This window comes from Homo sapiens, chromosome X (genome assembly GCF_000001405.40).
Source record: "Homo sapiens chromosome X, GRCh38.p14 Primary Assembly".
In the NCBI taxonomy this organism is placed as follows: domain Eukaryota; kingdom Metazoa; phylum Chordata; class Mammalia; order Primates; family Hominidae; genus Homo; species Homo sapiens.
In genome coordinates this window covers 63,057,764-63,069,513 of record NC_000023.11, presented here as the reverse complement: position 1 = coordinate 63,069,513, position 11,750 = coordinate 63,057,764, and the positions used below count along the sequence as shown (strand labels likewise).

Genomic DNA, 11,750 nt, shown 5'->3' with positions numbered 1-11,750 from the left:
TTTTGGCTTTTGTTGCCATTGCTTTTGGTGTTTTAGTCATGAAGTCCTTGCTCATTCTTATGCCCTGAATGGTATCGCCAAGGTTTTCTTCTAGGGTTTTTATGGTTTTAGGTCAATGGTAGCTTGATGGGGTAAGTTTTAGATCTTACGTTTAAGTCTTTAATCCATCTTGAGTTAATTTTTGTATAAGGTATAAGGAAGGGACCCAGTTTCAGCTTTCTGCATATGGCTAGCCAGTTTTCCCAACATCATTTATTAAATAAGGAATCCTTTCCCCATTGCTTGTTTTTTTCAGGTTTGCCAAATATCAGATGGTTGTAGATGTGTGGTGTTATATCTGAGGCCTCTGCTCTGTTCCATTGGTCTGTATATCTGTTTTTTTTAACAATACCATGCTGTTCTGGTTACTGTAGCCTTGTAGTATAGTATGAAGTCAGGTAGCGTGATGCCTCCAGCTTTGTTCCTTTTGCTTAGGATTTTCTTGGGTATGCGGGGTCTTTTGTGGTTCCATATGAAATTTGAAGTAGTTTTTTCTAATCCTGTGAAGAAAGTCAATGGTAGCTTGATGGGGATAGCATTGAATCTATGAATTACTTTGGGCAGTATGACCATTTTCACGATATTAATTTTTTCTCTCCATGAGCATGGAATGTTTTTCCATCTGTTTGTGCCCTCTCTTATTTCCTTGAGCAATGGTTTGTAGTTCTCCTTGAAGAGGTCCTTTACATCCCTTGTAAGTTGTATTCTTAGGTATTTAATTCTTTGTAGCCATTTTGACTGGGAGTTCACTCATGATTTGGCTGTCTGTTTTTCTGTTATTGGTGTATAGGAATGCTTGTGATTTTTGCACATTGATTTTGTATCTTGAGACTTTGCTAAAGTTGCTTATCAGCTTAAGGAGATTTGGGGCTGAGACCTTTGGGTTTTCTAAATATACAATCATGTCATCTGCAAACAGAGACAATTTGACTTTCTCTTTTCCTAATTTAATACACTTTATTTTTTTTCTCTTTCGTGATTGCCCTGACCAGAAATTCCAATACTCTGTTGAATAGGAATGGTGAGAGAGGGCATCCTTGTCTTGTGCTGGTTTTCAAAAGGAATGCTTACAGTTTTTTCCCATTCAGCATGATATTGGCTGTGGGTTTGTCATAAATAGCTCTTATTATTTTGAAATATGTTCCATCAACACCTAGCTTATTGAGAGTTTTTAGCATGAAGGGCTGTTGAATTTTTCGAAGGGCTTTTCTGCATCTATTGAGATAATCATGTGGTTTTTGTCATCGGTTCTGTTTATGTGATGGATTATGTTTATTGATTTGCATATATTGAATCAGTCTTGCATCCCAGGGATTAGGCTGACTTGATTGTGGTGGATAAGCTTTTAGATGTGCTGCTGGATCCGGTTTGCCAGTATTTTATTGAGGATTTTCACATCGATGTTCATCAGGGATATTGGCCTGAAATGTTTTTTTTGTTGTTGTTGTGTCTCCGTCAGGTTCTGCTATCAGGATGATGCTGGCCTCATAAAATGGATTAGGGATAAGTCCTTCTTTTTCTATTGTTTGGAATAGTTTCAGCAGGAATGGTACCAGCTCCTCTTTGTACCTCTGGTAGAATTCGGCTGTGAATCTGTTTGGTCCTGGATTTTTTTGGTTGGTAAGCTGTTAATTATTGCCTCAATTTCAGAGCTTGTTACTGGTCTATTCAGGGATTCAACTTCTTCCTGGTTTAGTCTTGGGGTGGTGTATGTGTCCAGGAATTTATCCATTTCTTCTAGATTTTGTAGTTTATTGGCGTAGAGATGTTTATAGTATTCTCTGATGGTAGTTTGTATTTCTGTGGGATCAGTGGTGATATCTGCTTTATCATTTTTTTATTGGGTCTATCTGGTTCTTCTCTGTTTTCTTCTTTATTAGTCTTGCTAGTGGTCTATCAATTTTGTTGATCTTTAAAAAAACTAGCTCCTGGATTCATTGATTTTTTTGAAGGGTTTTTTGTGTCTGTATCTCCTTCAGTTCTCCTCTGATCTTAGTTATTTCTTGCCTTCTGCTAGCTTTTGAATTTGTTTACTCTTGCTTCTCTAGTTCTTTTAATTGTGATGTTAGGGTGTCGATTTTAGATCTTTCCTGCTTTCTGTTGTGGGCATTTAGTGTTATAAATTTCCCTCTTGTGTCTTGGGGTTGCTCTTTTTGAGGAGTATGTTTGTGGTGTTCTCTGTATTTCCTGAATTTGAATATTGGCCTGCCTTGGTAGGTTGGGGAAGTTCTCCTGGATATATCCTGAAGAGTGTTTTCCAGCTTGCTTCCTTTCTCCCCGTCACTTTCAGGTACACCAAACAAAGGTAGGTTTGGTCTTTTCCCATAGTCCCACATTTCTTGGAGGCTTTGTTCATTTCTTTTCACTCTTTTCTCTAATCTTGTCTTCTTGCTTTATTTCATTGAATTGATCTTCAGTCTCTGATATTGTATTTTCCACTTGATCGATTTGGCTATTGATACTTGGGTATGCTTCATGAAGTTCTCGTGCTGTGTTTTTCAGCTCCATAAGGTCATTTATGTTCTTATTTGAACTGAGTTATTCTTTAAACTGGTTATTCTAGTTAGCAATTCACCTAATCTCTTTTCAAGGTTCTCAGTTTCCTTGCATTGGATTATAACATGCTCCTTTAGCTCAGAGAAATTTGTAATTATCCACCTTCTGAAGCCTACTTCTGTCAATTCTTCAAACTCATTGTCCATCCAGTCTTGTTCCCTTGCTGGTGAGGAGTTGTAATCCTTTGGAGGAGAACAGGTATTTTGGTTTTTGGAATTTTCAGCCTTTTTGTGCTGGTTTCTCCCCATCTTTGTGGATTTATCTACCTTTGGTCTTTGACGTTAGCGATCTTCGGATGGGTCTCTGAGTGGACATCCTTTTTGTTGATGTTGATACTATTCCTTTCCGTTTGTTTGTTTTCCTTCTAACATTCAGGACCCTCTGCTGCAGGTTTGCTGGAGTTTGCTGGAGGTCCACTCCAGATCCCGTTTGCCTGGTTGTTACCAGCAGAGGCTGCAGAACAGCAAAGATTGCTGCCTGTTTCTTCCCCTTGAAGCTTCGTCCCAGAGGGACACCCACCAGATGTCAGCTGGAGCTCTCCTGTATAAGGTGTCTGTTGACCCTACTGGGAGCTTTCTCCCAGTCAGGATACACAGAGGTCAGGGACCCACTTAAGGAGGCAATTTGTTCCTTATCAGAGCTTGAACGCTGTGCTGAGAGATCTGCTGCTCTCTTCAGAGCTTTCAGGCAGGGAAGTTTAAGTCTGCTGAAGCTGCGCCCACAGCCGCCCCTTCCCCCAGGCGCTCTGTCCCAGGGAGATGGGGGTTTTATCTATAAGTCCCTGACTGGGGCTGCTGCCTTTTTTCAGAGATGCCCTGCCCAGAGACAAGGAATCTAGAGAGACAGTCTGGCCGTGCTGAGTTGTGGTGGGCTCTGCCCAGTTTGAACTTCCTGGTGGCTTTGTTTACACTGTGAGGGTAAAATGGCCTACTTGAGCCTCAGCAATGGTGGACACCCCTTCCCCAACCAACCTCCGGCATCTCAGGTCAACCTCAGACTGCTGTGCTAGCAATGAGAATTTCAAGTCGCTGGATCTTAGCTTACTGGGCTCCATGTGGGTGGGACTCATCAAGCCAGACCACTTGGCTCCCTGGCTTCAGCCCCCTTTCCAGGGGAGTGAACAGTCTTGTCTGCTAGCATTACAGGTGCCAATGGGGTATGAAAAAAAAAAAAAAAAAAAACTCCTGTAGCTAGCTCGGTGTCTGCCCAAACGGCCACCCAGTTTTGTGCTTGAAACCCAGGGTCCTGGTTGTGTAGACACCAGAGGGAATCTCCGGGTCTGCTAGTTGTGAAGACCTTGGGAAAAGTGCAATATCTGGGCTGGAGTGCACCATTCCTCCTGGTACAGTCTCTCATGGCTTCCCTTGGCTGGGGGGAGGGAGATCCCACAACCCCTTGCACTTCCCCAGTAAGGCAATACCCCACCCTGCTTCTGCTTCCCCTCTTTGGGCTGCACCAACTGTCCAGCCAGTCCCAGTGAGATGAACTGGGCACCTCAGTTGGAAATGCAGAAATCACCTGCCTTCTGCATCCATCTCGCTGGGAGCTGCAGACCGGAGCTGTTCCTATTCGGCCATCTTGCCCACCTCAGGTATGTCTTTATCAGCAGCATGAAAATGGACTAATACACATGAAATTCCTAAAATTTTTGTATGTCTTGGTATATGTTATCAGTCATAATTATAATACTAGATTGTTATATGCCACAAATATAACCGAAATTGTGGTCAATTGCATCTTTTATTATCATTATTCTAAGTCTTTTGTCATACACAGTTTTTAAAAATTCTTTTCAAAAAGTAGTTTATAATCACGTACAGTCCAAAATGTGCTTCTTCTTCAGAAAATTTATGGGAAAGACTCTGAAATTATTCCTGCGTACAGATTTCAAATACTTTTGGTGATTATGACATTAGATTGGTTAAAAACTTTAAGTATTCTAATAAAACTGCTGAAAGGTTTATGAAGATTGCCAGCCCAACATCAAGCAGAACAAGAATTAATTACATAGGAATGAATTGGTATGAAACTAAAACAATTTTTATGACTTTTAATTTAAAATATTGCTGATTCTTTTTCTGTTTTATCTTCCAGAGTCAACAATTTTTTTTTAATTTGAGCTATATATAACTTCAAGGAATTGAGGGTGGAGGGTGGAAGGAGGGTGAGGATCAAAAAGCTACTGATTGGGTACTGTGCTTATTATCTGGGTGATAAAATTATCTGTACACCAAAGTTACATGACATGTGATTTACCTATGTAACAAACTGCACATGTACCTCGAGTCTAATTTTTTTTTAATGTATACTTTAGTGAGCAAAACTGAAACGTGTTAAATTTCCTCTACCTGGTTTATCCAGAATTTGAAAACTAATTATGATTATTTTTATTTTATGGCAACATGGTTATTTACATAAGTTCAATATGAATCTGTTGTTTTTTCTGTAATAAGATACAATTAGAGAAACGGGTTATTTTAATGAAAGTTTTACAGGAATGTGATATTTTCAGATATGAAAAGACTGCTTTGAGTAGTTGAGGTTGACTTTACAGAGCTGATAATATGCCCCTTGCAAAGTCTGGTCCAGTAACTTGTCTACAGTGTTCCATCACAAGGTTCTTAATATTGTTGTAAAATGTAACTTTCCGACAGGCCTAGGAACCTCAAGATATTTTGAGAACTTGACAGAAGAAGAATTCACCCAATTCATATAGACATTAAAAGCCCAGTCTCGTGATGAATCCTTGAGTTGGCTTCCTGGCTTTGAGAGGTTTTATATTTTTTTCTTTTTTTTTTGAGTTTTTTTTCTTTTTTTTTTTTATTATTATACTTTAAGTTCTAGGGTACATGTGCACAATGTGCAGGTTTGTTACATATGTATACATGTGCCATGTTGGTGTGCTGCACCTATTAACTCATCATTTACATTACGTATATCTCCTAAAACTATCCTTCCCACCTCCCGCCACCCCACAACAGGCCCCGGTGTGTGATGTCCCCCTTCCTGTGTCCAAGTGTTCTCATTGTTCAATTCCCATCTATGAATGAGAACATGCGTTGTTTGGTTTTTTGTCCTTGCTATAGTTTGCTGAGAATGATGGTTTCCAGCTTCAACCATGCCCCTACAAAGGACATGAACTCATCATTTATTATGGCTGCATAGTATTCCATGGTGTATATGTGCCACATTTTCTTAATCCAGTCTATCATTGTTGGACATTTGGGTTGGTTCCAGGTCTTTGCTATTGTGAATAGTGCTGCAATAAACATACATGTGCATGTGTCTTTATAGCAGCATGATTTATAATCCTTTGGGTATATACCCAGTAATGGGATGGCTTTGTCAAATGGTATTTCTAGCTCTAGATCCCTGAGGAATCACCACACTGTCTTCCACAATGGTTGAAGTAATTTACAGTCCCACCAACAATGTAAAAGTGTTCCTATTTCTCCACATCCTCTCCAGCACCTGTTGTTTCCTGACTTTTTAATGATCACCATTCTAACTGGTGTGAGATGGTATCTCATTGTGGTTTTGATTTCCATTTCGCTGATGGCCAGTGATGATGAGCATTTTTTTCTCAATTTTTTTATTTTATTATTATTATACTGTAGTTTTAGGGTACATGTGCACAATGTGCAGGTTTGTTACATATGTATACATGTGCCATGTTGGTGTGCTGCACCCATTAACTAGTCATTTAGCATTAGGTATATCTCCTAATGCTATCCCTCCCACCTCCCCCCAACCCACAACAGTCCCCAGAGTGTGATGTTCCCCTTCCTGTGTCCATGTGTTCTCATTGTTCAATTCACTCCTATGAGTGAGAACATGCAGTGTTTGGTTTATTGTCCTTGCGATAGTTTGCTGAGAATGATGGTTTCCAGTTTCATCCATGTCCCTACAAAGGACATGAACTCATCATTTTTTATGGCTGCATAGTATTCCATGGTGTATATGTGCTACATTTTCTTAATCCAGTCTATCGTTGTTGGACATTTTGGTTGGTTCCAAGTATTTGCTATTGTGAATAGGGCTGCAACAAACATATGTGTGCCTGTGTCTTTATAGCAGCATGATTTATAACCCTTTGGGTATATACCTAGTAATGGGATGGCTGGGTCAAATGCTATTTCTAGTTCTAGATCCCTGAGGAATCGCCACACTGACTTCCACAATGGTTGAACTAGTTTACAGTCCCACCAACAGTGTAAAAGTGTTCCTATTTCTCCACATCCTCTCCAGCACCTGTTGTTTCCTGACTTTTTAATGATTGCCATTCTAACTGGTGTGAGATGGTATCTCATTGTGGTTTTGATTTGCATTTCTCTGATGGCCAGTGATGATGAGCATTTTTTCATGTGTTTTTTGGCTGCATAAATATCTTCTTTTAAGAAGTGTCTGTTCATGTCCTTCGCCCACTTTTTGATGGGTAGTTTGTTTTTTTCTTGTAAATTTGTTTGAGTTCATTGTAGATTCTGGATATTAGCCCTTTGTCAGATGAGTAGGTTGCAAAAATTTTCTCCCATTCTGTAGGTTGCCTGTTCACTCTGATGGTGGTTTCTTTTGCTGTGCAGAAGCTCTTTAGTTTAATTAGATCCCATTTGTCAATTTTGGCTTTTGTTGCCATTGCTTTTGGTGTTTTAGACATGAAGTCCTTGCCCATGCCTATGTCCTGAATGGTATTGCCTAGGTTTTCTTCTAGGGTTTTTATGGTTTTAGGTCTAACATGTAAGTCTTAAATCCATCTTGAATTAATTTTTGTATAGGGTGTAAGGAAGGGATCCAGTTTCAGCTTTCTACATATGGCTAGCCAGTTTTCCCCGCACCATTTATTAAATAGGGACTCCTTTCCCCATTGCTTGTTTTTGTCAGGTTTTTCAAAATCAGATGGTTGTCGTTGTGTGGTATTATTTCTGAGGGCTCTGTTCTGTTCCTTTCATCTATATCTCTGTTTTGGAACTAGTACCATGCTGTTTTGGTTATTGTAGCCTTGTAGTATAGTTTGAAGTCAGGTAGAGTGATGCCTCCAGCTTTGTTCTTTTGGCTTAGGATTGACTTGGCGATGCAGGCTCTTTTTTGGTTCCATATGAACTTTAAAGTAGTTTTATCCAGTTCTGTGAAGAAAGTTATTGGTAGCTTGATGGGGATGGCATTGAATCTATAAATTACCTTGGGCAGTATGGCCATTTTCATGATATGGATTCTTCCTACCCATGAACATGGAATGTTCTTCCATTTGTTTGTATCCTCTTTTATTTCGTTGAGCATTAATTTGTAGTTCTCCTTGAAGAGGTCCTTCACCTCCCTTGTAAGTTGGATTCCTAGGTATTTTATTCTCTTTGAAACAAATGTGAATGGGAGTTCACTCATGATTTGGCTCTCTGTTTGTCTGTTATTGGTGTATAAGAATGCTTGTGATTTTTGCACATTGATTTTGTGTCCTGAGATTTTGCTGAAGTTGCTTATCAGCTTAAGGAGATTTTGGGCTGAGAAGATGGGGTTTTTTAGATATACGATCATGTCATCTGGAAACAGGGACAATTTGACTTCCTCTTTTCCTAACTGAATACCCTTTATTTCCTCCTCCTGCCTGATTGCCCTGGCCAGAACTTCCAACACTATGTTCAATAGGAGTGGTGAGAGAGGTCATCCCTGTCTTGTGCCAGTTTTCAAAGGGAATGCTTCCAGTTTTTGCCCATTCAGTATGATATTGGCTGTGGGTTTGTCATAAATAGCTCTTATTATTTTGAGATACGTCCCATCAATACCTAATTTATTGACAGTTTTTAGCATGAATGGCTGTTGAATTTTGTCAAAGGCCTTTTCTTCATCTATTGAGAAAATTATGTGGTTTTTGTCGTTGGTTGTGTTTATATGCTGGATTACGTTTATTGATTTGTGTATGTTGAACCAGCCTTGCATCCCCAGTATGAAGCCCACTTGATCATGGTGGATAAGCTTTTCGATGTGCTGCTGGATTTCGTTTGCCAGTATTTAATTGAGGATTTTTGCATCCATCTTCATCAAGGATATTGGTCTAAAATTATCGTTTTTTGTTGTGTCTCTGCCAGGCTTTGGTATCAGCATGATGCTGGCCTCATAAAATGAGTTAGGGAGGATTCACTCTTTTTCTGTTTTTTTAAAATTCTAATCTGAGATTCTTTATTAAAAAGCTTCAGCAAAGCCAACTTTGAAAGAGTCTATAGGTCTATGTAGCTAACCCCCTAACCACTATTGTTGCTGAACTTTGTAAAAATAATAAGGAACCCTACAATAATATTAAACCATATTTTGCAAATAAATTGGTTTGAATGTAATTTTTCTTTGGTAGAACAGAGAACTGAGAAAGAAAAATTATGTTTCAGAAAAAAATTATAGTATAGTTGTTGTTAAATGCTAGCCCTGACCATTGTTTTTGAGTTTTTTTGATTTGTCTATAGTTTTGAATGGATTTTGAATTTTTTCCTAGCTACAACCTGCAAACTAAAAATTTTGAATTTTTCTTTCATTTTTCTCACTAGGAATTACTAGTAATTAAAACTGCCTTTCTTCAAGTACTGCACTTATAAGTTAGACTACTTGATGTAAACTTCAGGAGAAATCACCACACTAATTTATGTATAAACAGCCTTCATGTCTGTTGGTGTATGGACTATTCATAAAATTCACTGAGCATATGATTTGAACCATAATCCAGGAAAAGCTGTCAGACTGTCACTGCAATATGAAGATGCTCTGGAAACTCTAGGAAGACTAGTACACAATACTCCAGACACTAATCTTAGTTTACCTTCTGTTTCCATTGAAATGCCTCTTATTAAATATCTATTTGCCTGCAATATATGTAGAGGTTTAGCACATCTGCACTGTCACCTGTTATTATGGGACATACCAATTTAACTGAACTAATCTGTTCTCAGGACTAAAAGATTGATTCAAGAAAACATGAAATGTTACATTTCAACGTGTTTCTGATTAACAAAATTTGTTTTTTCTTTCCTTTGCCTATCTCTTATCAATCTATAACTAAAATCCATCCACAGTCACTGACTTAGCTTTTATTTTTTGATTTTTATTTTTTAATTTTTTTGAGATGGAGTCTCGCTCTGTCACCCAGGCTGGAATGCAGTGGTACGATCTCGGCTCATTGCAACCTCTGCCTCCTGGGTTCAAGCGATTCTCCTGCCTCAGCCTCCTGAGTAGCTGGGATTACAGGTGTGTGCAGCCACTCCTGGCTAATTTTTATATTTTTAGTAGAGACGGGGTTTCGCCACTTTAGCCAGGCTGGTCTGGAACACCTGACATCTTCTGATCCACCCACCTCAGCCTCCCAAAATGCTGGGATTACAGGCGTGAGCCACCACGCTTGGCCTTAGCTTTTAATGTATAAAATTTTTATGAAAGTTATAGACACAGGAAATAAAAGAATGCAGAAATCCTCATCCCAAAATATGGTTACCTGGTATAGTGAGTATTTTGAATTAAAGCTCCCTAGAAATCAACATATGCTGCAAGAGACTTTTCCTTCATCTACACCAACACTGTATGGACTCACAAAATAGAACAATTTTCTTCTTCCCCTCATTGTCTTCACATTATGTATCACAGACAGGAAGAACAAGAATGTAACAACACCTGAACAGACCCTGACAAAACAATGTTTGTCTCTGAGGGTCATTCAATTTCCAAAAAGAACCATTAACAAGTCAATCTCTGTGTCTCAAACCATTCATTCTTCTTAGTAATCATGTAGTCCCCCAAACAGAATCACCTATATTCCCTATATCACCCTCCCTTCTTTAAATAAGGCCATGTAGTACTGGATTTTCATTGAAACTTTGGGTAATCACTCTTATTCTCTCTCATGCACACTAATAAATTTCGATGCCATTTTTCCTATCAATCTGCCTTTTGTCATTTCATTTTTTCGGGAAACTTCAGAAGGCAAAGGAGAAGCTATTTCTTGTTCCTTATAATACTTTCAATGAAAATTCAGCACCACATGGGTTTTATTGCACACCATCAACCTTAAATCTGTACATTATCTTTTGTGTTCTAAAACATCAAGTTTTTTATTCTTCTAAATAACAAGAACATAATTTGTTACAACTACAACTGAAGAACCATAGTAACAACATGGTAACTGAAAGTAAACCAGTTTGACATTTTGACTGAAATTCCAAAAGTGAAAGTTTTTCTAGTGATACTTCAATAAATATCACAAGGATCCATCATGATCCTTTGCTTGTGATAGAATAATGCTTCTGATAGAATAATGTCATATAGAATTGCAATCTAAATGCAATTAAATACATATGTCACAGATGTCTAATACTAACTCATTGTCAATATTTTTAAATAATTGAATGGGCAAGCCTTAAGATGGCTGACTAAATGCAGCTGCATTTCACCTCTTTCATGGAAGGGAACCGAAAAATTAAGTAAATATTCATACTCTGAATAGATCATCTGAGAATATAATACCACAATTCAACAGAGAGGCAATGGCAGATGCTGAAGATGAAGGAAGAGGAAGTGAGACTGCCTGCTTGGCCAGGGTCACAGAAGTCCCCCAGACCCTGAACCCAAGCAAGGAATAAGTGAGAGACCCCTCGAGTTCCATATTCTTATGATGGATCTCTATAATCATAGCTATACAGGAGCTCCTTGTCCACCACAAGCCTCCATATCACCATAGGAAGCTGCCTGTAGATCATAGAGAGGCATTGCTTGAAGTCACGTGAAGTTTTACAGGCCTTCAAGACTAGGCAAGTGCAGAATAATCTCACCATTGGAGCCCATTCCCCAAGTCTCTGTGTCCTCTTCTGAGGCTGCTGCTGACACTGATAGCTGCCAGACTGCAGAGGGAGAAGGGAGGCTTTGTGCTCTCACACACTTCAAAAGCAGGTTTTACCACCACTGCTGGAGGCTGCTGTGGGAAAGAGATGAGTTTGGACCATGCACACCATGCCTGTTGACTTCCCTCGAAGCTGCCCGCCTGGGTGTTCCTGCTGAGAGAGACCAGCCCTTCCTGGTGGCAGGCCCACAGTGTAACCATCATTGCCCTGCATGATTATTACAACCAGTGGCTTGGGACTTTCTGACCCCTAACTATTACATCAATGCTTGAATCCAGGGGAACTGAGGAC

General features: G+C 39.2%; 1 annotated feature.

Annotated features, from left to right (window-relative positions):
* Nucleotides 11,049–11,218: an enhancer, noted in NCBI's record as "active region_29703". NCBI's record gives its function as "activates an Ori minimal core promoter by ATAC-STARR-seq in GM12878 lymphoblastoid cells {active_cell/tissue: GM12878}" and the evidence as "EXISTENCE:reporter gene assay evidence [ECO:0000049][PMID:35858748]".